At 39.3% G+C, this 26573-nt stretch overlaps 1 long non-coding RNA gene and 1 pseudogene across 1 annotated transcript, besides 3 other annotated features; both read left to right on the top strand.

Moving 5' to 3' along the window:
• Positions 1-82: 82 nt before the first annotated feature.
• On the top strand, positions 83-25401 carry LOC105369463 (uncharacterized). Its single transcript, XR_001748343.2, has 4 exons — positions 83-412; positions 1137-1317; positions 12278-12409; positions 25206-25401. It is a non-coding gene; the product is annotated as an uncharacterized LOC105369463 (long non-coding RNA).
• On the top strand, positions 22132-24119 carry LOC100190922 (eukaryotic translation initiation factor 4E binding protein 2 pseudogene; annotated as a pseudogene).
• Positions 24676-25875: an enhancer, noted in NCBI's record as "P300/CBP strongly-dependent group 1 enhancer chr11:103496216-103497415 (GRCh37/hg19 assembly coordinates)". NCBI's record gives its function as "activates an origin of replication core promoter dependent on BRD2, BRD4, P300/CBP, MED14 and CDK7 cofactors, with strong dependence on P300/CBP, by STARR-seq in HCT116 cells {active_cell/tissue: HCT116}" and the evidence as "EXISTENCE:reporter gene assay evidence [ECO:0000049][PMID:35650434]".
• Positions 24676-26189: a biological region, named in NCBI's record as "P300/CBP strongly-dependent group 1 enhancer GRCh37_chr11:103496216-103497415".
• Positions 25446-26189: an enhancer, noted in NCBI's record as "OCT4-NANOG-H3K27ac hESC enhancer chr11:103495902-103496645 (GRCh37/hg19 assembly coordinates)". NCBI's record gives its function as "activates a minimal SCP1, AML or CMV promoter by ChIP-STARR-seq in naive H9 embryonic stem cells {active_cell/tissue: H9 hESC(naive)}" and the evidence as "EXISTENCE:reporter gene assay evidence [ECO:0000049][PMID:30033119]".

Raw genomic sequence — 26573 nt, 5'->3', positions numbered from 1 at the left:
CCCCACCCCAACAGCACCAAGTTTATTTCCAGGCAGAAGGTGAACAGGGCTGAGAACTTGCCCCGGGCTACCAGTCTCACGGCTGAGAAAGCACGCAGGGTTTTCAAGTTTAGCATCTCCCCACCTGCTACAGGTTCTGTGCTATGTCTGCATTCCAAATTCACACCCCTCCACACACCCTCAGATTCTCTCCAGGAAACTTTGTGTTCGGTGAAAACTGTTACAAATTCAGCTAGAAGTTTCCTTCTCCCTGTGGTCTTTTCTCAGTTCCTCTGGCAGCCCTCCCCAAGGACCTCTGTGAGACAAACTCAGAAACGGCTTCCCTTGGGACATAAAGACCCCACAGGGCTCATCCCTCTGCTTCTTCTACCCCTGTACTTTGCTCAGCTCACTAAATTTGTCTCAGCTCCAGGTAAGATCAAATCCTCCCATGATCTGGACCTTCAAGTTCCCCAGTGAGGGGGTGTGTTTGAGGGCAGACAATTCCCCTTTCACACTTTCACACTTTGGACAGTTTTTTAGCTGTCTCCGGAGGCCTGCAACAGCAACCTGCTTCTTTCAAAGGGTTTGTGGATTCTCTCGGCTTTCCTAGTATGTTCCTGCAGTAGTTCTTGGAGCAAAAATTCACTATGTGAGTCTCCACACACTGCTCTGTCCATCCAAGTGGGAGCTACAAGTTAGTCCTGCCTCCTATCCACCATTTTGTAAAAGAACGAATGAAAAATTCTGACATGATTGATTCTCTTTTTTTAATGACATGATTCTTATGAAAGTCTAATTTTGTAAATTACATTTATTTTTTCCTGTTACAAAGTTAACTGCATAAGGCTGTTCCTTCAACAGGATCATGATGTAACAGGCATGATAATATAATCAAATCAACATAACCACAAGAATATTGACTCCAATTAAACCAGCATAGCTTGTCAAAGCCCATTGGTTTCTCAAGGGCCTCAAAGATTCTAGTAATAGGTCCCTCCTGTTTTTGAGCAGAAGCAAGAAATAAATACTCTTCTTGACAAGAGAACAATCATCTCAGAACTCCAGGATCCCATTATTAATCACCTCTCCTTAAACTGAAATCCCCTTTATATACTAATTTAGAATTTCTATGTCCATTTCTATCATCTACTCAGACAGCAAACTGCCTAAACTACAAAGGGAAAGGTCTATGGTCCTATAAGAGTTTACCTTGCAAGCAAGATCAACATTTTCTTGGGGAAAGAAGCCAAATAAAGCCAAGAGTTTGTATACATCTTCCAAATATCCTGAGCTACAGAAAAGAAGAAAGGGTCAGAAAGAAGATTCTCTCTGCTAGTAGGTCTGAAACAATCAGATTCATATGTGTCTTTGTGTATTAATATGAATATCTTTTCTTGAATAAATGAGCTTTAAATTTAGAAAACTTTCTGGTTTATATTAAGCATATTAAAATTTTATCTTTTTGAAGGCTGATTTCCACCTCCCACCTCCTACATCTACCTCACATAAATTTAGAGTAGGTTGAGTCTCACCCCAGCAGTGAGAAGAAAGGACGGAAGCGATTTTGAGAGGGTGAAGTAGATGCTGCCCCTCTTATTGTACTTTACCTGGCCCAGGGCTGCATGTTGGACAACTCCAGAGTGTGCCATTCACACTGCACTCTTTGGAGTCCAAAGTAACTCCATCTTGGATGCTGATCTACCACACTGACTTCAATTAAGCCTGTTCTGGGAAGGCCTCTAAGACTTCCAGTTTATCTATTGTTCCTTGTGTAAGAGCAGGTACTTACCATAAATTCTGCCCTCAGGTCAAACAGTCTTAATGCTTTTATACTTCAGTCATCCTAGACATCCATTCTGAGTCACCTTTCTCTATGGTATATAAGCCCTGGGTCTGGAGAGTAACGGCATGGGATCCACCATCTTGTCTCACCTACACCTGAGACACAAACATGGCTTCTGTTTGTAAGTCCCTATTAAATGTTTCTTTTTGAGAAATATGCCACACTAAATATGCCAGCCTCTTTCTTCAGCCTCTCAGCTTCCTGGGACTTTGGGGGTAGGTTTGCACATACCTGCCCACTGAAGAACACACTCTGTGTGGATGTGGCTAATGCCCTTGGAGATGTGCAATGTGGCTGGCTTGTCATGGCCTGTCTTAAACCAAATTGGGAAACAGATGAAGTGTGTCATAGCCCCAACCTATCTTTTACTCCATTTCCTTCTTTCACTTGGTGGTGGTCTCTCTCATGTCCCCCCTTCCTCCCTCCCCAAGCACCTTCTCAGATGGCAAGGTAGTGTGTATGTGGTTGCTATGTGCAGTCAGCCTGTGTGATTGGTTCACCCCTGACTCCATGCTTTATGAGCACATGACCTTGGGCAAGTTACTTTACTTCCTTTTGTTTCAGGTTCCTGACTGTAAGATGAGGCCAAGAGTATTTTTTACCTCATAGGGTTATTGTGAGTACTAAATGAAGTCAGGCATGTGAAATGTGTAGCCCTCAGAATGTGGTTAGCTATTTTTAGTGCTATTATCATTATCACCACTGCCATTCGATTGCCCAAAACCCAATACCCAAAGCACAGGAGGTCTTGTTCACCCTCTAGTGAAGATAAGTAGAGATGTTAGTCAGCTCAACAGTGTCTCATAGATTATGAAACCCCACCCCTTCATTTCAAATTAGTAGACTGGCAATACAGAGATAACAGGAAATTCTCCAAATCGCATAGCTGGTTGTAGATGAACTAGAAACAAGAACTGGAGTCCCCTGCCTCCCAGTCCAGTACATTTTTCACTGCATCAAACATTTGATTAAACTTCCATGAGACCAGCCCGCTTCAACTATCCAATCTTCAATCATGAACAATTTCAATCAGGCATATGTATCTGGATGATTATAATCAGCTACTAGGAAACAAAGTCCTGATTGATCAACTCATTTTCATCCTCTTCTCCCTAACATGAGGTTAATGAGACAAACATCTTTGGCTCATGAATTCTGAGCAGTTAAGAGGCAGAAAAGACCTTGTTCCTGAGAAAGAGAGGTTAGTGCTGGTCAGCTTTTCCATGTCCCTGCCAGGCAAGGTTCTCTCTGAGCTCTGTGTCAGACTTTATTGAATCCAGAAAAGAGGAACCAAACTTCTCAGCAGAAAGATTGTCTTCTTCAGAGTTGTACAGTAAGGGTTCTTTGCTAGATGAATCCTGCTTGCCCTTGAGAGTTCAGTTTAAATCCTTTTTCTTCAGAGAGCTCTTTTCCCCAGCCTCTAGCCTAGCTTAGTCCTGCCCACCCTTACATTCCCACAGCCTTCTGAAAGAATAAGCAGTATTATTGAAACCACCATAGCTCACTGGGGGACTTTTTTTGGAGTGGGTCATATTATCACATCATATTTTCAGGGTCTTTCGTCTTGTGACATTTCAACAAAGAATTACAGTGATTCTCTAATCACTGACACTAAGGGAAAGAAAGATGCCTAAGTTTATTCTACTCTTCTTTTTCTAGCCCCTTGAAATGGATGTTAGCATGGTAACATTCATCCTTTGCTTCTAATATAAAAGTTTCTAACTATACATTTCTCTCAAAGCTGGCTATAAATATTCTATACTGACCTTCTTTTCAAGCTTACGCAGGACATGAAAATTGACTTTGAAAATCACCAAGTTTGAAATTCACCATAGTTTAGTAGAAAGACTTCATTTTTAACCATTATACAATTAAGGTAGAAATCAATAATAGGTCATTAGAACAACCTCTAATATTTCAAAATTTCTAAAATACTCATGTGTATTCTCCAGTTGCTAAACATAACGTCCTATATAGAGCAGATCATTAGATCAAGGTTGCTATTGAATTGACCAAATAATCAATATTTGTTCTGACTGTTGTCTGCTTTATCCATCAAGTACTGAGAGGGAAATATTAAAATTTCCAACTGTGAGGATGGGTATGTTCTTTTTTCCCCTAATAGTTTTGTCAATCTTTTATTGATATATTTTGAGGCTATGTTACTACAGATGATATGGTTTGGCTCTGTGTTCCCACCCAAATCTCATGTCAAATTGTAATTCCCAATGTTGGGGGAGGGACCTGGCAGGAAGTGACTGGATCATGAAGGTGGATTTCCCCTTGCTGTTCTTGTGATAGTGAGTGAGTTATCACGAGATCTGGTTATTTAAAAGTGTATAGCACTTCCCGCTTCACTCTCTCTCTATTGCTCCACCATGGTAAGATGTGCTTGCTTCTCCTTCACCTTTCCACCATGATTGTAAGTTTCCTGAGGTTCCCTTGCCATGCTTCCTGTACAGCCTGCAGAACTGTGAATCAATTAAACCTATTTTCTTTATAAATTGCCCAGTCTCAGGTAGTTCTTTACAGCAATGTAAGAACAGACTAATACGACATACCTATATTTTTAATTGTTTTATCAACATTGAGAGTTGATTGTCTTATAAATATGAAGTAACCCTCTTTATTTCTAGTAATGCTCCCTGAGTTTATTTTCTAAACTCAATTGATTATAAACCTTTTTCATTTTGATAAACGTGTCTAAGACCAAATGTTTTCCAAATATATACTCTGAAAAAAATGTTGTCTTATGCCAAGTAAACTTTGGTTTAGGAGTTCCCTGTCTCTTTATTCAGTACCTTCATAGCCCCCTCAGGTAGCCAGCGATGTTATACAGAAATTGCTCTCTCTTCACCTATCAAATATTGCTTTTAATAAAGAAAACTCATTCGTCTAAGATGAGCAAGTACTTTTTTTCTACATCAAACATGGTATTTTAAGTTGATGGGAGTATATAATGTGATCCTTTGGATTGTGAGGTAGGGATGGGGTAAGAAGCCTTCCCAGAAGCTAAACATTAGGTCACACAAGCCATGACATGCTTACCACTACTCTTCCCCCCCCCCCCCCCACAGAAAGCTGCTGAAGTATCATTTTTTTAAATTTTAGACTCAAGGGGTACCTGTGCTTATTTATTACATGGATATATCACTTACTGGTGGGGATTGAGTTTTTAGTGTACTCATCACCCAAACAGTGAACATTGTACCTGATAGGCAATTTTTCAACTCCTGTTCCCTTCCCACCTTCCCCTCTTTTGCAGTCCCCATTGTCTATCATTTTCTTTTCTTTTCTTTTTTTTTTTTTTTTTGAGATGGAGACTTGCTTTGTCACCCAGGCTGGAGTGCAGTGGCATGATTTCGACTCACTGCAACCTCCACCTCCCCAGTTCCAGCAATTCCCTTGCCTCAGCCTCCCGAATAGCTGAGATTACAGATGTGTGCCACCACACCTGGCTAATTTTTGTATTTTTGATAGAGACAGGGTTTTGCCATGTTGTCCAGGGTGGTCTCAAACTCCTGGCCTCAATTGATCCACCTGTCTCAGCCTCCCAAAGTGTGGGATTACAGGCATGAGCCACTAGACCCAGACTTTTTTCCATCTCTATGTTTATGTGTATCCACCTTTCCTCTTTAAACATATTTTGTCTGATGTGTTATAACAGCAATACCATATGTATGTTTTGTTCCATTTTCCTGAGACAGGGTCTTGCTCTGTCATCCAGGCTGGAGTGCAGTGGCATGATTATAGCTCACTGCAGCCTCGAACTCCTGGGCTCAAGCAATCCTCCCGTCTCAGCCTCCCAAGTAGCTTGGACTATAGGTGTTCGCCACCATCACAACTGGCTAATTTTTTTCATTATTTTTGGTAGAGGCAGGGTCTCACTGTGTTGCCTAGACTAGTCTTGCTCTCCTGGCCTCAAGTGGTCTTCACACCTTGGCCTTCCAAAGTGCTGGGATTACAGATGTGAGCCACCATGCCCAGCACCCATATTTCTGTTTATTGGGATTTGATGACATATAATTTTTATTCTCTCACTTTCAACTAGTCTGATTCTTCATTTTAATTATATCTCTCATAAATGAGTTATATTTTTTAAAAAGTCCATTAGAACTACCTTTGACTTTTTAAATAAACTTTTTTGAAATAATTTTATATTTACAGAAAAGTTGCAAGTATAATAGTTTCTATATGCCCTTTACCTAGCTTCCTCTCATATTAACATATTATATAACCTTGATACTGAGAGACAGGACTAGCTGGACTTCCTAGGCCGACTAAGAATTCCTAAGGCTAGCTGGGGAAGGTGACCTCACTCACCTTTAAATACAGGGCTTGTAACTCAGCTCACACCCGACCGATCAGGTAATAAGAGGGCTCACTAAAATACAAATTAGGCTAAAAGCAGGAGGTAAAGAAATAATCAAATGATCTATTGCCTGAGAGCACAGGAGGAGGGACAATTATAGGGATATAAACCCAGGGCATTTGAGCCAGCAGTGGCAACCCCCTTTGGGTCCCCTCCCATCGTATGGAAGCTCTGTTTTCACTCTATTAAATCTTGCAACTGCACACTCTTCTGGGCCGCGTTTGTTCCGGCTCAGGCTGAGCTTTTGTTCACCGTCCACCACTGCTGAACGCCGCCGTCGCAGACCCGCCATTGACTTCCACCCCTCCAGATCCGGCAGGGTGTCTGTTTAGCTTCTGATCCAGCGAGGCACCCATTGCCGCTCCGATAGGGTTAGAGGCTCACCATTGTTCCTAGCGCGACTAAGTGCTCAGGTTGGTCCTAATCGAGCTGAATGCTAGTCGCTGGGTTCCACGGTTCTCTTCCATGACCCACGGCTTCTAATAGTGCTATAACACTCACCTCAGGGCCCAAGGCTCCATTCCTTGGAATCCGTGAGGCCAAGAACCCCAGGTCAGAGAACAAAGGCTTGCTGCCATCTTGGGAGCAGCCTGCCACTACCTTGGGAGTTCTAAGAACAAAGACCCTCCGGTAACAATACATTTGTCAAAACTGAAAAATCAACATTAATAGAGTGCAACTAAGTAAACTACAGACTTTTTGTATTTCATTAGCCTTTTCACTAATGTTCCTTTTCTGTTCCGGCATCTAATTCAGGATACCACATTGCATTCACTATCTTTGTCTCAAAGAGTTTAGCCCTTTGCATTTATTGTGATTTGTAATATATTTAAAGCTGTTGTCACCACTGTATCTTATGCTATGTGTGCTGTTTTTTGCTAACTTCTTTTCTTTACTTTGACTTCTATTAATTGAATTTTTTTATTTGAATCATTCTCTTTTGCCCTCAAATAACATGCAGCTTATATAAGTGATTTTCTAGTCTTTTAGTGGTTATGCCAGCAATTTTAATAGACATAATTAAAAAAATTAATCAAAGTTGACTCTAGTCACCGCCTCCCAAAATATACATTCATATTTCTATGTATTTTAATTCTATCTTCTTTTAAGCCTACAAGACACTGTGATTTTTTTATATAGTGTTTGTCCAGATGTAGCATCATATTAAACTCTTCCTCTGCTCATCAACACATCTTTCACTTAAGACCTTTCATCTGGGATTTTTTTTCTTTCTACTTGAAATAGTTCCGTTGGTAAAGATCTGTTTTTGGCAAAGTGCTTCTGCTTTTACCTGAAAAATAGTTTTACATTTATCCTTGAAATATAGGTTTATTTGGATTTAAAATTCTAGGTTAGCAGCTATTTTCTCTCAGTTACTTTAAAACATATTTCACTGGCTTCTCCCTTCTTTCTCTGCTGTTGAGAAGTTTGCTGTTAGTCTACTTGTTATTCTTTTTCAGATAATCTGTCTTTTCTCTCTGACTGCATTTATGATCATCTCTTTTTCTTTGGTTTTCTGCAATTCCACTAACAAATGTCTAGAGGTATATTTATTTTTATTTAAGCTGCTTGGAAACGTTTTTGGGTTTCTGAAATTAAGAATTCATTAAGTCTTTAAGATTTTTTATATTTTTAAATTATTTATCTCAAATTATTATTTTTTTAACACTCAGGCATAATTACTTCTAATTTTGCCTCTCACACATTCCATTATTTTATTTTGGAATTCTAAATAATTCCTAATAATTCCAATTAGATGCATGTTAGACCTTCTCATTCTAACATGTTAAAACTCTCCTCTTTGAAATTGTCTACCTCTGTATCTGCTTGTGTAGCTTTTGGGTAATTTTTTCATATCTATTTTTCAGTTCATTAACTTTTTTCATCTGTATACTATTTGCTCTTTAGCCATTTATTATGGTTTTAAATTCAATTTACTTATTTATATCTCAAAGATCTGTTTGATTTATTTTCAGGCATTTTTATCATATTTTATTGTCATCTAAACTTATGTTAATCTTATATTTTATTTATTGTAACAAGTTAAACATACAAAGTTTATATTCTTCACTTGGTCATTCCAGTATCTGCAGATACTTCACATCTGCTCCTACTCTCTGGCATCATGTGTATTTGTCCAGCTTTGTTATGCTGATGAACTTTATCAGTCCAAATTTTTCAAAGCCTGCTTGAAGGTGATTTAGAGGGGACTTGCCTTTGTCTCAACCTGGAGTCACTTTAAAACTAAACCTTGACTTGAAGTTTTTTGAACCTGCACAAGTAATATAAACTTAGGCTACAAAGTGGCCAGAAAATAGGCTCATAGCTAAGACATTTCACTAGAGATATTTTTTTCCCACTTCTACTCAAAACCAAGATGGTAACAGAGAAGTTTTCTTAATATTTCCTTCTGGGAGTAATTTATTTTTCACCCTTGCACTGTAATTGTGCCCTTCAGTCCCAGTGTCAAGAAGGGGTCATATTTAGACTCATTACCTTGGTTGGGCTCTATATGTTTTCTCCTGCTCACCTGTTCCCCGGATAGCCTTCAAACTAGGAAGTGAAGGTCATGAAGGCCCAGTAGATGGGCAAAAGCTGACATCAGAACTGGCTCATCTTTCTGGAGCTCCATGTTCACATCATTGGACTCTCAGGATGCCTTACCATGTTGTTAGCTCACTAATGCATAGTTTTAATATGTTACCCATTTTTAGTTGTTATCAGTGACTATGTTGTTTAGCATATCAGACTGTGATACACTAGAAACAGACAGCAAGGAAACCTAAATATGACTGGTTCAAACTTTAAATATTTTTCTAAGCCCTTTTGTTTCCCAAAACCATTATCTGGAATTTGAATTATAATCTAGATTTCATGACAAAATCTCAGGCAGAATTCATGAAATGCCAAATCTGCTGGAGTCCCTGATGACTAATTATTAACTTCTCAACTTAGCAAAATATTTTGCTATCTTATTAGTTTCCTAGGGTTTTAATAATACGTCATCATGAACTTAGCTTAAAACAACAGAAATTTATACCCTGATAGTTCAGGAGGCTAGAAGTTCAAAATCAAGCCATGAGCAGGGTTGGTTCCTTCTAGAAACGCCAAGGGAAAAATTAGTCCCATCTCTCCTCTAGCTTATGGTGACCCCTGACAATCTTTCGTGTTGCTTGGTGTTACTTCACTCCAATCTTTGCCTTTGTCTTTATATAGTTCTGTCTGTCTCTGTGTGTCCTTTCCTCTTCTTATAAAGAAACCAATTATTAGATTTAAAGTCTACCCTAATCCAGTGTGATCTCATCTTGTTTTCTCTATTTATCTAGCAAAAAATGACTTCATTTTAACTTAACTAAATATATCAGCAAAAACTATTTCCAGATGTCACATTCTGAGCTTCCAGGTGGACATGAATTTTGGGGGAACACCGTTCAATCCTTTACAACCACCTTGAGCTTTCTCCTGAAGATAAAGCTCCCATGTAACCCAGAGAAACAAATATACATTGTGTCATACCAAAACATACTTACTGGCCTAACATCACTTCCCTATATTTCATAATGTCAAGCACGGTTCCCACTGTCAATTTTTTTGACTTCAAATAAGTTCATTATGTGTGAAGGTCTCCTTCAAGAGCTCTGTAGCCCAGAGCTCATCACTCCTTTATTTCCACCATCGGAATTGTTTTCTAGACAACCTGATAGCTCCACATTCTTAAAATGACCCATCAAAACACAGCCAGCCATATAAATTGTATTGAGACTTTCTCAGTGCAGCAAAGCAAGTTAGTTTGTTAAAGTTTAGCAACAAACTTTGTCTAGCAAGGAAATTCAGTGATCTAGCTCCTACCTAACTTTCCAGCCATATCTCTTGTCAAAATTACTCCCCTACCCACTCTCCTGCCCTTGCATCCTTCTCTTCGGCAATATAGAATTTCTTGTAATTCTCCGAATATAAGATACTACATCATGCCACTGTGGCTTTACAAAGCCTGCTCTTCCTGCCTGGCTGGCCCTGACACTACTCATTCACCTAGTGATCTCCTACTGTTTCTTTAAGAAACTAATCCACCATTTTCTTTTCTGTGAAGGCTTCTCTGATCCACCTGTTCAGATCATTCTTTTACTAATATTCTTCTAGTTGCACCAGTCATAGTACCTCGATATTGCACTTTTTCACTGCATCTAATGTATTAGTTCATCTTAAATGTCTTCCTTTACCAGAATATAAACTCTCTTGTATCCTCAGCCCAGCACAGAGTCTAGAACATGGTTGGCACTCAATATGGTTTTAGCAAAATGGCTATTGCCTACTTATACAGGCCCAGCTTAGTGAAAATAAAAGGATAGTTAAGGTCTGATTCTGACTTTCTGGGTATTTGTATTCTGTATCTATGTATTGACATCTACTTGGTTGCATGGAACTTTCAAACTCAAGATTTGCTATTTGATTGCTCAATATAATTCTGATTTGGGGAGATGTGATTTATTAAACTGCTATCACTTCAAATTAGCAAGCGAAGCCTTTTAAGCCATCATTCACAACTACTTCTGGACAAAAAAGAAAAAAAATGCTTCTTCCTCTCCACTAAAATCAGATACTTCATTAGTATATGAACCCTCTGGCTTCTCTACTGTCAGACTCACACATTCATCTTTCACCTAATTCTCGTCAGGCCAGTCACTTCCATTCCATTTGTAAAACTTCTGAAAAGAGCATTCTTTTCTAGATCTATGTATATCATTCAAATGATTTAATACAGAAACTTTTGGGCCATCTTAAGAAACTCTAACTCTTGTCTTCTTGCTGCATAAATGAAGAAAAACTTTTGCTTCTTCTTCAACCTGCTAATCATGTTTTTAAAACATGATTAAACCATTTCTCTAGCCCCATTTTTCTTCCTGCATTTGTCTGGTCAATGCTCCATCACATTTTTTAAGCAAAATGCCAGTTATTCAAGTCAATGGCAATCTATATCAAGAGCATCTCACACTACCGTCAATACATATCTTCACAATCTGGCAATGCAATTATTTCTCCTTTTTCAAAGCTGGAAAGAGCTTTCCTATAAATGCAGTGTAACCTTAACCCATGCACTTCCAAATGCTACAGTTTTAATTAAAATTTTTACTGCATTCTCTTTCTCTCCCTTTTAAATTAACAGCAAAATAAAATTCCAGAAGGGTTTGTTTTCTCTTTTAGAGATTTAATGATGGGAAATTCCCTGAAAAATAGAGAGATAAACAGTACATTTCCTGAAAAACTGAAGATATAAACCAGGATCTTCTTCAACATAAAGGCAATCTTGAGGTTGTCCCCAAAACAGTAATCTGTGGACTTTTGTAAGCAACCTAGGCTATTATTCTAAATCCAATTGCATTGTGTCATACACTGGTCTTGTAATATTTGAAATGGTTCAATTGTACTAATTTCCTCTTTCCCTGGAAAACATTGGAGAAAACTTTAGCTAAATGTGGTGCTTTATTTTTTCTAATTCAAATTTTTACTTGTTTGAGTAGAGGAGTATGACTCTCTGTGTGGGCGTGTCTCTCTGTGTGTGTGTGTGTGTGTGTGTGTGTGTGTGTGTGTGTGTGATATGGAAAAGGCTTTATGTAAAAGATGATAGGATAGAACTGGATGATTTTTCTATTTGACCTTGGAATATTCCATTAGCTTTTATATTTTTTTCACTAAATGAATTAGATAATCTCTAAGTCATTCCTGGTTCTGACACTCTAAAACATCCTTGATTAAAGTTGAAACCTGAATTTTTATGTCTGTGCACAAAGATTATTGACACAAGTTTCCCAGGACAATTTCAGAAGTATCTAAGAGAGTACGGAAACTCCATTCCTCACCTAGAAAGGCTTCATTTTGTTCTTCCATTTATCCAGTAAGCCATTGTTAAGTATGTGTTTCATGCAAAGACTAAACACCCTGCTAAAATGGTGTTTATGCATCCTTCCAGTAGAGCCCTTACCACATTGAATTAACATAGCTGATTAAAGCCTGTCTGCTCCATTAGAATATGAACACCTGCAGGGCACCTAATATGTTACTTTTATCTCTATATTTTCTAGGTCTCGCATGGTTCTGAACACATAGTAAATGCTGAATTACTATTTCCTAAATTATCATAAAGCTGAGAAGAATCATGATTCTCAAACTTCACCTTGGAATTAAAATGGATTTCCTTGAGAAGCACATATGAGGTATACTCTTACTGGCATTTTCAACTTAAGCCTTGATATCTCTTGACATGTGATTCTTCAGCATAAGAGTACTGATGCTCTAAATAAAATGCCATTTTTATGGGAAGATCAGGATAAATCAGCATGCCTTGGTTACCTCACACTTTCAGAGTCACTGCTGTTTTAACCCCCCAAATAGCATGTTGATTATATTAGGAAACCTTTCTGACAAGTATACTTAGAGCAGAAGGGAAAAATAAATATTTTATCTTAACAATTTGCATCCTAATTCCTTTTAGGGAGAAAACCATGTTTAGGGAATTAACTCACAAATCTTTCAAGTGGGCATTTCTTATTTTTGATTCCCCCAGAAGCAGACCCTGAAACAAAGATCTGAGAACAGTTGGCTTATATGGGAGGCGAACTCGTAAAACACTGGTAGGGGAGTGAGAGACTGAGAAGAGAAATAAACCAGTCAAACATGTATTAGCAACGAGAGCTTAAACATGCTGAAGGATTCTAAGACTCCCTTTAGAACACAGGCTCAGAGTCACCTAAACCAAGGGTAAGGGACCTGGGTTATCTACGCATGGGTATCCATCAATTATCGGTTAAGAATTATCTGAGGAGGGGATATTGTCCAGTAATTTTGGCCTAAGACATGCATAATCATATGCATGGGGCTGACTGAGATGACCAGACAAAACACTCAGGCAAAGAGACACAGGTGCTATGGTTGAGTTCAGGACTGCATGCACTAATATGGTATGTATATGAGAAAAGAATAGGGATTTCAGGATCAGAGGAGAGAAGGATAAAAAACTGGAATGGAGAAATGGAGAAACCACCCAAGCAGGAACTATGCATTTTAAAACAGTGAATTCACATCCCCTGCAGCAAAGTGGCTGATGAAATTTTATGAACACAAATATCTAATGTTTAACTTTTGGTTGCTTATGTTGCTGAGATGTAAATCCTTCCTCTGTCATCAGCACCAGTCCAAATTTTTAGCATAATCAGCTTTACATAAAGCCCTTGAGAGAAGATCTTTTTTAAAGTTGAATGTGAAGAAAGGTCTGAAGTTGATGTTTTTGGCTAATAAGGTATAAAACAAAGCCAGGAGAAGCATGATATTAAGATAAACCCATGAACACCCCTAAGTCCCTGGACGCTGAGGTTCAGAGCTATGAGTGACCATAAGGCTGTGAGTACCTCAAGACTTTTCAGATTTTTATAGTAGTAAGCATGGAATTATATTCTCAAATGGTGGTTTATGGAAAAATTATCCAAATCTTACAGATCAGGAGACACAGCTAACAGTCTGTTTCCCGCCACTCCTATTCACATGCAGAAGGAGCCCCTAATTTACACATGAAAGGCTGGATCACACAGAAAAAAATAATAGTGAGAAATGAATCACCTTTTACTTTCCCAGAACAATGATAGGTCTAAAAGACCATATGGCCAAATGATGGACCAGATTTCTGCCTTGTTTCTGCAAATGACTCACCATGAGACCTTGAGGTTCTTTGGCTGGTCTACAAATAAAGTTGACAAAAGACAGATTAACAGGAGAAAAACAATTTTAATTGCAAACGTACACACAGGAGTTTCACAAAAATATGAGGTTCAAAGAAGCACCCAGATGATTGAGTTTTATATATCATTTTGAGCTGCAAAAACGAATAGGATTTTGTGGCCTCTAGGGGCTGATAGAGACAAATTCCGGGAGGGTAAAGGAGGGAAATATACAATGAATAAAAGTTGCCTTGTTATTCAGATAAAAATCTCTCAGGTGACAAAAGTTGTCTCAGAGTAGCTCTCTTCCTGATACAGATAACTTTACTAATGAAAATTTCCTCTATGAATGTACATTTCTTTACAAAAGGATAGCCTTTCAGAGCTTATCTGTCTGTAGTTTCTCAAACCAGCTCAAAACAATCAATACGCCAAAGAGGCATATTTTTACAGTGGCATATTCTTGTCTCCTATAGTCATGTATTGGGGTGGTATGTTCTGAACCTCATTACCCATGTGTTGTTCATTATGTGAAATGATGTTATATTTTATATTGGATTAAATAACTGGTAAAATTCTAGTCAGTAAATTTATCTCCAGAATTGTTCTGTGGTGAAGTCAACTTACACAGACAAGCCAACAACTATTTACGACGTTCTCTCTTTTTTTTTTTTTTTGAGATGGAGTCTCGCTCTGTCGCCCAGGGTGGAGTGCACTTGCACCATCTCGGCTCACTGCAAGCTCCACCTTCCAGGTTCAGGCCATTCTCCTGCCTCAGCCTCCCGAGTAGCTGGGACTACAGGAGCCCACCACTTCTCTAGGCTAACTCTTTATATTTTCAGTATAGATTGGGTTTCACTGTGTTAGCCAGGATAGTCTTGATCTCCTGACCTCGTGATCCGCCCACCTCAGCCTCCCAAAGTGCTGGGAATTACAGGCGTGAGCCACTGTGCCCTGCCACCAGGTTCTCTTAAGGACACCATGTGCCTATAATTCATACCTAGAACAGCTCTCTTTTCCCTTTGAGTCAGCACTGATCATTATGGCATCCACTGTTCTATAGAGACGAGGAAAAGAAAGTGTGAAATATGAATAGAAACAAGAACTCTGACTTTAAGCACAGAGAGGCTTGGATTTGAATTATAACTCTGATGCTTCCTAGCTATGTAGTGTGTCCCTAAGCAAGTTACTTAAAAGGACTTCAGGCTGGGCGCGGTGGCTCACACTTGTAATCCCAGCACTTTAGGAGGCTGAGGCGGGCGGATCACGAGGTCAGGAGATCGAGACCATCCTGGCTAACACGGTGAAACCCCATCTCTACTAAAAAAATACAAAAAAAAATTAGCCGGGCGTGGTGGCGGGCGCCTGTAGTCCCAGCTACTGGGGAGACTGAGGCAGGAGAATGGCGTGAACCCGGGAGGCGGAGCTTGTGGTGAGCCGAGATCGCGCCACTGCACTCCAGACTGGGTGATGGAGCCAGACTCCATCTAAAAAAACGAAAAAAACAAAAAGGGACTTCAAAATCTCCATTTCTTGCACTGTTAAGTGGGGGGTAATTGTAATGGTTATTTTATAGAATTTCTGTGAAAATCCAGTGTGAAACTGTGTACAGCGTTTAACAGACTCTTCGGCACATAGCTGTGCTTAACAGTGTTTGTGACTTGTTATTGTTATAACCTAGACGACTATACACCTTGCAGTGGAATAGAAATATGGTTGAGAAAAGAAAATACATGGTTAAGCAAAACAGTATTTCTGATGCTTGTTTCAGCTCTGGCTCTGTTTTAATTTTCTCCTCTGTTTTATTATTAAGAATTAAGAATTTGGTAGGGTTAGAAAATCTATACAAAAATCCCCACTATTTTCCTAATAGAATTCCAACTGTAAGACATATAAATTAAGCATCTTTCAGACTAAAAGCTTTGGAATTCTCATGGCACTACCTTGAGTCTGCCATTTATTTATTTATTTATTATTATTTTTTGAGACCAAGTCTCACTCTGTTACCCAAGCTAAAGTGCAATGGCGCGATCTTGGCTCACTGCAACCTCTGCCTCCTGGGTTCAAGCAATTCTCCTGCCTCAGCTTCCTGAGTAGCTGGGATTACAGATGTGCGCCGCAACGCCGGGCTAATTTTTTGTATTTTTAGTAGAGATAGGGTTTCATCATGTTGGCCAGGCTGGTCTCAAACTCCTCACTTCAAATGATCCACCCACCTCAGCTTCTTAAAGTGCTGGGATTACAGACATGGCATCTGCCACTTTTTAGGTTTTATTGACAAGCTCAGTTCTTTCTGACTTGGTATCTTTATTAATGTTTCACCATTACACCATTTTTTATTTATTTATGTGACATTTGGTTTTTTTAAGAGATAAATACAATTCAGTAGGATTATTCTTTTCCCAATAGAACTCATCTTTAATTTTATAAAAGAATATTGGTGCTAGAATGAACTTAGACATCATCTAATCTCACTCACTCATTTTGTGAAGAAAGAGTCGAGGCATATTGGAAGTTCCATCACTTGCCCAGTGTTACATAGATTTGCAAACATGTTGCTTAGATGAATGAAGAAATGCTAAAATTAGAATTCAGTTTATCTGCCTTCAACTCTAATCCGTTTTCTACTATTTTAACAATAATGAATAAGTTTAAAAATGAGTTAAATAAAAATTTTGCAGACAATATTTTTAGAAGGCTTGTAGGCCTTCAAGTGTAAATACCTCTTTAACTTTGATCACAGGTAACAAATCCAGTTTCATAGAGAGAAAGAAATGAAAATCCATACTAAAGCCCTTTCCTTTGACCTTGGATGTGTAAGAGTACTCAGAAAGAGTCTGAATTTTGGAGGTTGCCGCTAGTTGCTTTATTCAAGACTCTGAGTTGAATAAGTCGTCTGGACTTAACCTCAGTTTTTCAGAAGTCTTTAATTTAAGATCTTCTTTTACTTGATTCTAAGGTTCATAAAAGTGTTAGGAGCTTCCTGGCTTATATCTTAGAGTAAACATTGAAGAAGAATGAAGAAATTTTTTCCCTTGGCTAGAATATTGGTTATGTTAGAGGCAAAGGAAACTTTTTCCTTTATCTGAAGTTTCAAGTCTGCTGCAATAGACTGGCAATAGATTAACAGGAGAAAGGACACATAAATGTATTAATGTGCAAGTGTGCACAAGAGCCAAGCAAGGTACGATACTCAAAGAAGGGCCAAATGGTTGATGCTTAAATACTCTCTTTACAGGAGATAGGGAAATGGGGGAATATAAGCAATTTTGAATGGCAGTAAATTATTTTCAGGAGAGTTGTTTGAGCCCAAAGAATAAATGATAGTTTGTAAGTAACTCTCTTTGGAAATTGAATGGGACTGGAAAACAATAGCCTGTGTCAAAGTGTCTAGGTGTGGTGACATTCCTCAGTCTTCCTTTCCGAGATATGAATCTAATATTCTCTGGTTAATACAATTTCAGGGAGGGGACTGAAGGCAATTGTATTCCAAACTTCAGATACTGGAACTTCAGAGAGAGAGATTTCCACCCTGTACTTAGGGGGAAACACAGGAGAATGTTGAAAAGTCCTTGGTTCTGGGGCTGCTTCTAAGTTCTTATAATTCACTGTAGTTCAAAGTGTTCAGCATGCCATAGCGTCATCCTTCGGGGTATTACTTTCTGAACTCCAACAGTTACTACATCATGGTGAAACTGGCCTAGCCACTGTAGCCTCTAACTTTTCAGCATGCCCCTTGCATCCTTTCCTATTCATTATTAGCTCTGTGTCCTCAGTACTGGGTGAAAGACTTATCCTTACTATACAGCTCCATCACTCCTAACACTTGATGGAATTTGTGGAATTCTAAGGATGTAGTTATGAACACTGAAATACAAGGGAGGAAATGACCATTTTAATCAGCAATTGAAATTAGTTCCCAGACCTTGAGCATGAGGAAGAGAGAGGATTGCAGACAATTAGCCCTCCTGTGGTTGCTCAGTTAAGGACTGGCATAGGATTTCTGCATTCTTCTATAATTCATAGTGCAAAATTTATGGCCATTGTGTTCTGCCTAGAATCAGAAAATTTCCTGCTGTGGTTTACAAGGAGGGTTATTAACCATGGTGATGCCTGATTAGTTTCATTGAATTAATAAAATGAACAAGTCTCAATGCTTTAGCAACTTTAATACACACACAATACATTACAATCCCGCAAGGGCAGGGCAAGGACAGATGCTACCATCCACTGAGCCATAGCATTGATCTTTATTCTGCTTTGACCACCAGGCTTTACTACTATCCTGAGCTCCAGACATGTGTTCCCAACTGCCTCCTCAATTAAATGTGTCCCAGCAAAGACTACACTTAATTTTTTATTAATGTAAAAAATATAGGCTGAGCACAGTGGCTCAGGCCTATAATCCCAGTACTTTGGGAGGCCGAGGCGGGTGGATCACCTGAGGTCAGGAGTTTGAGACCAGCCCGACCAACATGGAGAAACCCCATCTCTACTAAAAATACAAAATTAGCCAGGTGTGGCACATGCCTGTATTCCCAGCTGCTCGGGAGGCTGAGGCAGGAGAATAGCTTGAATCAGGGAGGTGGAGCTTGCGGTGAGCCAAGATTGCACACCATTGCACTCCACCCAGGGCAACAAGAGCGAAACTCCATCTCAAAAAAAAAAAAAAAAAGTATATATATATATATATGTAGAGAGAGAGAGAGAGGGAGAGAGAGAGAGAGAAAGTGAGAGAGAGTGCCTTTTCATTTCTGTCCCTTCAAATAACAGCAGTGTATCCAAAATTAAGTTCATTCCTCAAAATCTGCTTCATCTTCTCCATTCTGTATCTTAGTAAGCAGCTTTATCATTCATCCAAATGGCTGTGGTGGTCACACTTTCCCTCTCCTCACCCTCCCCATTCAATCTATAATGTCCTCTAAGTTTCATATTCTGAACAATACTTGACTATATCTTTCCTATCCATTCCCATTGCCATGAACCTTGTTCTTGAATGTACTAAATTTTACCTGGACTGAAGCAATTGTTTCTTAATTTTTACCTTTACCTATTTTAAACTTACATAGGTTTACATTGCTAAGTGTTAGAATTTTTACTTTTTGCTAATGCTTTAAATATATTTTCTTAGTTAAAAAAAAAAATCCGGCGGTAGGAGGGACCCTTCCTATATTAACCTGTATCAACCACACAGCTTAATAGGATTAAGAATTAGAAATGTCTATAGTAACAGCACTTTACTATTTTGGGAAATTCTCACCCAGTGAGGTTAAGTTACAAATAATGTTATTGGTTGACAAAGAAACTTCCTAAAAATACATTTATCTGAACAACAGACTGCACAACCAGCTCCCTCTTCAGACAATAGATTACTCATCAGGATTTATAGCCCTCGTGGTACAATATAAAGTATATTTAGCCTTTGCCCCATGTTGATGAAAAAAGCCAAACTCTGTAAAATATTTGAAAAGGTTTATCCTGAGCCAAATGTAAGGGCCATGACCTGTGACACAGCCTCAGGGGGCCCTGAGAACATGGGCCCAAAGTGTATGTGTTATGGCTTGATTTTATACATTTTAGGCAAACACAAGTTACAGGCAAAGACATACATCAATAAATGTAAGTAATACATTGGTTTGGCCCAGAAAGCTGGAACATCTCAAAGCAGGAGCTTCCAGGTCTTAGGTGGATTTAAAGATTTCCTGATTTGCAATTGCTTGAATGAGTTAAGCTTTGCCTAGAGAGTTAAAATCAGCAAAAAGAAATGCTTAGGGTTAAAATAGAGGGCTTATGGAAGCCAAAGTTCTTGTTATATAGATGAAGTCTCCAGGTAAGCAGGCTTCAGAAAGAGTAGATAGTAAATGTCTTTTTTTTTTTTTTTGAGGCAGCATTAACATTAAAGTAGAGATCCTTAGACTCACAGAATAAACTCTTTGTAGCAATAAGATACCAAGTCCAGCCTAACTCTGGTATAACATCACATGACAGATAACAGGCCCTATCTCTCCTAAAAACCCCATCTCTCCTAAAAATACAAGAAATTAGCCAGGTGTGGTGGCACACACCTGTAATCCTAGCTATTTGGGAGGCTGAGGCATGAGAACTGCTTGAACCCAGGAGGCGGAGGTTGTGGTGAGCTGGGATCATGCCACTGCTCTCCAGCCTGGGCAACAGAGTGAGACTCTGTCTCAAAAATAAATACATAAATAAGTAAAGTATTCAGCATGTCAAAGCACCAAACTTTTGGGGTATTATTTTCTGAGTCCCAACATTAGGAAGACTTGTTTGTTCAGCTTCTCTGTGTCCTTGTGTCTTCAGAGATAAGAATGTTTCTTTATTCTGAGTTTAAGGAGGGCACCTCAATAATGGACTTCTGACCTACTTCAGAAAAGAAGGGTGAGGGTAAAGTGGGGATGACCTTCCTAATTCTGCTGTTTTCTTAAATGCCAATGTGCCATATTTTGGGGTATGTGTCCACTGTCATGTCTCCAATGTCTCCTTCTGTGTAGACATCCAAACAGCCCTCTGGCATTCCTTAAACTGAATCAGGCTCTTCTACCTCCCTGGTCTTTGCACACATTGTTCCTGTAGCCCACAGTGTTTGCACACCCCTTTCCACCTGGAAAATCCATTTATCCTTCAGGATAGGACTGGATGTCCCTGATAGTTGGCCATTCCCTCCTCTCTGCTTTCTGAGCATTTTTCATTAATCCATATTTTTAATACTTACCTATGTTATATCTATTTTTCTGCCTCTCCCTTGAACTGAATAATGAGTCATTCCAGAATAAGGATGAGATGATTTTTGTCCAACTGAGGAGCTAGACAACCTGGATTTCATTTCTCTCTCTTCCACTTTCTGTTTGGCTTTGGTCAAGCTACCTAACTGCTCTTTGACTCAGTTTCCTTATATGTAAAGTCGGGGTAATAATAGTGTCTAATTCATAGGATTATTGAATGGATCAAATGAGCTTCTATGTATCCAACTTTGCTGGCAAACCTCCAAGTTTTTCTGTCTTATTCTTTGAACCAGGGCTTCTTTGAATCTATTTTTTTTTTTTTCTGTTTTGTGGGAGCTGGGAAGGTGGTAGTGACCAACAGCACTCAGGATACCAGTGAGATAGCAGAGAGGGAGAGAGACTTACAGAAAATTTAAGAGTGAAGACTTTGGTATGTAGCCTTGCCATGGATGAATAAATGAATGAAAAAATAAAATTTAAAAATATCTAATAGGTGAATGTATGGAGAAAAGACCAAGATGAAAATGGTATGAATTTTAAAAAGCATGAAGGCATAAATGATTCAAGCTTTAGGATACATAACAAATTAATATACAAACATCACTTAAAAATAATGACACCTTGAGTCTATGGTGGAATTCATTGTTTTACTTTAGAATAATAGAATTAAAAGTTCAGGTTTATTGAGCACTTATTACACATAGCATCATTCCCAATGCTCTATTTTTATTATCTCATTAAATCTTCACAACAGCTCTGTTACAGATGAAGAAACAGCATTAAGAAGTTAAGTAAATTGCTCAAATTCATACAACTGATGAGAGTTAGGGCTGCAGTTTGAACCAAAGCAGATGAGGCTCTTTTATACTATTTACAATTCAGATATATATAAATCATGTATTAATTCAGAAATTTGAAGTGCTTGAGAAAAGGCACAGCTATTAATGATTAGATGCCAGCCCAAAAATATGCATTCTCAGGTTTTCACATTCAATGTGACTCCAAAATGAAGCAACTTATTCCAAAATTCTATGGTCAAATCTCTTGAATATCAGTAGTCAGATGTGCTTAGAATTTTCCGATATACATTGCGTGTAATAGAGGAGGAAGGGGAGGTGGAAGACAAGAGAAAGAGAGGAATGGGAAGGATTTATATAAAACAATTCTGAGTCAATGGCTACTTCTGATCAGATGCAATAATTCCAGTAAGCCTCAAGCAAGGCTTCCACCATTAAAGCTAAAGTTATTTCATTTCACCAATTATCTTCAACACATAAATGTGGAGCATTTACTAAGTGTGGCTGCACTACATGCTGCTAATTCAGTAGCATAAACAGCTAGGAGAAAAAGAAACACACAAACCACCAACCATGTAACACTGTCAAGTGCCACAATGGAGGAACAGGAAGGAGAAGAGCACCTGAAGCAATCTGTGTGTAGGGGAAATGATCCTGAAGGAGGTGATTCTAGAGCTAAGCCTTTAAATGTCTCCTGTTCCCCTTCCCACTTAAACAGGTTAGATTGAAGGCTCTTGGTGTATTTCTGTAGAGCTCAGTTTAGAGGAAAACAGTTAAACTCTGGCTTTCCTAGTTGTTTTTTTGAGAGCCAGCCTCATACCTTGCAATTTTGTCCCAAATCAAATATCAACGACCAACAACTGCCTGGCTGGGAAGTCTGGGAAAGGGATACAGAAGCTTTGTGGGCCTAACACCATTCATGTTCCTTACCCTCTGTCTCTCCTCCCTGCATCCCACCTATGGTTCAGTGTTGCAAGAGTCTGGGCTTGGGGTCTTTAAAGCCAGCAAGGGGAAATGATAAAAAGAGAGCTGCTTTCCCTTTCACCTTGAGGTATTTGTCCCTTGGAACAGAGCACAGTTTGGCCAACTCTGGTAGCATTACCCTGTGACACTGTTTTGAGGTCCCCTTCCCTTCTTTCCTCGAGGAGGAATGTCTTCTGTCTTTGGTATTATAGTTCATCTTCCCGTTCTTTTACTTAGAGCATTTGTGCAGGTATGTTTAACACTGTGCATCAGAAAAGAGCCTTTGGTAACCAGTTTTGTTCTTCTTCTGCCACTCCTTCTTGCTTGCATCTTGTTGCTGGCAGAGTCCTCTTGTACTTCAAGAAAGCGAGGTGATTTTGTCTGCTTCTAGAGCAGGTCCGTACCAAGTAATAGAGTCACTTTAGCCTTTACTTGGTGGGTAAGGCCTGATCATAGTATTGTGTCAGATAACGCCTAAGAATGACCTCTGAAGAGCGTTGACCCATTTGAGTGCCCAGTCTCAGTCGTCATGTTTAAGTCCAGTGAGCCTTGTGATAGTTGTTCTCAGATTGCAGTTTCTTATGTTTTGAGTTTGAAGCTGATTTTCAGAATGTTCTTAGAAAAAAAACTGCATTTTTTTCCTTTCTGGATCTGCTTTGTTTGGCTGCTGGGATAGATAAGCACGGGCTTAAAAAATGTGTTCCTACCAGTTTTCTTGCCTTTCCTATTGTACTCTGAATTTCCCTCCCTACCTCCCTCACTGTCTTCCTCTTTCCTTTCTTTCCTTTCTCTCTACCAGGCCATTTTTCAAATTTACATCAAATATACCTCAAGTGTTGGTATATGAGAACATCTGTCACTCCTCTTATCTGAGAAGTGACCGTTTATTTTTAAGATGATGACAGACCTATTTTTAGATATGTTTTCAGTACAATTTTGAACAGCAACCTTTTAGTTAAACATCTTCCAGTGTTAGCAAGGTGAGAAATGTTCATAGGCGAGCCTGCTGTTCTATGTCACCATGTTTTGTATCCCCTTGTCCCCCAGGAACTCTTTCGTTTCCCCTCTAGTTTTTGGGTGTGCATGCTTGGAGTCTGCAGTGGGTGGTTTGTAAAACTGGACCATTCTGCCTTGCTATGAGTTGTTCATAAAAGCCTCATTCTTTTCTCTGACCCTTTAGCTTTTGCATTCACCCTCCTTCCCACCTACCTCTCCAGGGACTATCGACTGACATAATAATCCCGGGAGAATGACTCCCCTCATAGAAAGACTAAAGCATCCATCCCCTCATAGTTAAGTAGCCAATGGTGTCCTGGGAATTTCTGGCTGGATTTGGTGCCCTGAACTTTCTTATTAAGAAATCAGATCCCAGGGTGAGAGTAGAAGGCCATTTGGCCAAGAAAGAAACCTGTTTTTCTTTTGAACTATGAAAAGACCCTGTCTGTGAATACATTTTAGAAAGAAGAGAGAAAGGATGTCTGCAGAACTTTGTTCTGTTTTCTGCTACAAAAATGTGAATAGTTCAGAGTGAAAACATTTTGTGATGGTTGATGTCTCTCGGGAATAAGCTGGATATCCAATGTTTTGGGGGATGCTTTGAGTCTCAAGAATTGATAATCAGAAAAGTATTTTTTGTTTGTTTGTTTAATGTATCCCTGTTCTGATTTTAATTAAACTCCAAGTCTCATTTTACATATTCTTGGAAAAACCTAAAAAAAAAAAGAGAGAGTGAGAGAATGTGGTGATGGAGAGAAGAGGTGAGTGAATGAGTTGGGGAATTACTTTTTTTTTTTTTTTTTTTTTTTTGACACTGAGTCTCCCTCTGTTGCCCAGGCTGGAGTGCAGTAGTGTGATCTCAGCTCACTGCAAGCTTCACCTCCTGGGCTCAAGTGATTCTCCTGCCTCATCCTCCCCAGTAGCTGAGATTATAGGTGCCTGCCATCATGCCTGGCTAATTTTTTGTATTATCAGTAGAGATGGGGTTTCACCATGTTGGCCTGGCTGGTCTTGACATACTTACCTCAGGTGATCCACCTGCCTCAGCCTCCCAAAGTGCTGGGATTACAGGCGTGAGCCACCGCACCCATCCAGAGTTGGGGAGTTACTTTCAAGGTGAGGGAAATAGTTTGAGCAAGCTTCTGAACACTTGCTCAGATATTTCCCTCACCTTAAAAGTAATTCCCCAACTCTAGCCTAACTCCCAAAAGCCCAAACTAAGAAACTCAACGCATGACATTCCCTCAGGCAGAAGGATTGGTTCCAAATGGGACTATGACCCAATTTGTTGCGATAAAACATAAGGGAGAGTTTCAGGGGGCTAATTAGGGAGAGACTCTGTTGCTCTTTGAGAGCTAGTGGAGAAGACACTCTTCCTCTGGTCTGCATAGGATGTAGATGTGAATGCTGGAACTGCAGCGGTTACTTTGCCATTATGAAAGAGCTGGCTTGATAATGAAGCCAATATACTGAGAAGAGCAGAACTGGGAGAGTCATCACAGAGAAAGAGATCTGACTGAAGTCCTTTCTCCGGGAGAGTAGGGCTTCGTTATAAGAACACTCTGGGCTTGTTTCACAAGGGTTACTCTTCCCCTCCCCTTGCCGGGTCTGCAGGGGAATTTTCTCAAATCATTATTAGGAGAACCTGGTGGGTTTCCTGAAGGGCAAGCCTATAAATGTGAGACTGAAGCGTCCAAGTGTTTCTTACTCTCAAGGTAATCCACGCTCAGCCTTTAGCAATTTACCAAAATTACCATTTAAAGTGCATCTACCTGTTTTCACCTCTAGCCGCTTCTACCCCAGGTAAGCAGACCTCTCCTGTGATGTTCTGGATATGCCTGTCTCAACAGATTTCAGGGTGGCCGTCTTCTCTGCAAATTCAGTTCTCTGATGTGTCCAAGGTAAGTCATTTGTTTTTAATTTGTCCAGCTTTTTCTTGTAGTAAGGATAAGTTGACAACTAGCAATGACTCTTTAATCCTAGATGGCCAAATTTACTTGGCCATCTGAACCTTTGCCCATCTGTGCACTTCCTGGTAAAATCCAGTTTTAGCCATCCTTGCTAAGTCAATTTAACAAGAATCCCCTATCTCCAATATCTGATCATCCTGGATATCTTCAGCAAGAATCCTATTAGGTCATATAATAGGTTCATTTGCCTGATGCACAGCAAGTGAATATACTGAGACACTGGGGACTGCAGCAGAGAGAGTTTAATAATCATAGGGCAGCCAAATGAAGAAACAGTAGGAAACCTCAAAACTGCCGCCCTAAAAAAAATTTGGGACAGGAATTTTAGGTGGGCCAAAGTGTGGCAGAGTGGTACAGTTTGCAGAGTGCAGGGTGAAGTCATGGGTTGAGAGATGAAAAAACTACATTGTCATGCTGATTCAGTTTCTCTGTGGAGGTCCTCAAACTGGTTGACATCAGTCATTCCATTGGAATTCCAGATCTAAAGAACATCTTAAGCAATTCTTAAACAAAAGCCTATGACTCTAACATCAGAATTCCTATCTGTAGGAACAATGGGGATGTAAGTGGTCAGTATCTAGTGCTACATGATTCAGTTACAAGGAAGTGAGCCAAAGTGCAGCCTGATTAATGCTTAATTATAACTATATTTCTGTCCAGACCCTGGTGTGTAATTCTTGTTAACCCTGTAAGGATACTTTCAGTTGATTTGGCCAGAGTCCCCCTTATCACAGATGTTTCCTATTAGTAATTTCCATCCACTAGCCCCTACCCTGCTCCCCGCCTATAAATTTCCGCTTTGCCCATGCTGTGTTCACAGTTGAGTCCAATCTCTTTCCTCCACTGCAAGACCCTGTTGCAGTGGCCCCGTGCCTATCTCAATGGTCTTAAATAAGGTCTTCTTTAATATGCTTTAGCAAATATCACTGAATAATTTTTTCTTTAATACAACTTCCAAGTTTTTTACATATTACAGCTAAAACTGTAATTCCTTTCTATTAATAGTTCAGTATTGTATTTTCTGTGTGAAAAGTCTTTAGAAGTTATTCCGCATGTGTAGGGGGTTTCCAGCACTAAGATTGATCATAGATTGGGTAAGATTGACATAATAGAGAAACTGTATTTCCTATGCAGGAAATGTTTTTGACCAGAAAAAATAGTATTTAATCAGGTGGAAATTCCGTTCTGATTTCCCCTTCTT

This window comes from Homo sapiens, chromosome 11 (genome assembly GCF_000001405.40).
Source record: "Homo sapiens chromosome 11, GRCh38.p14 Primary Assembly".
In the NCBI taxonomy this organism is placed as follows: Eukaryota; Metazoa; Chordata; class Mammalia; order Primates; family Hominidae; genus Homo; species Homo sapiens.
The sequence above is the reverse complement of the archived record's forward strand: the minus strand, read 5'-3'. Positions and strand labels throughout refer to the sequence as shown.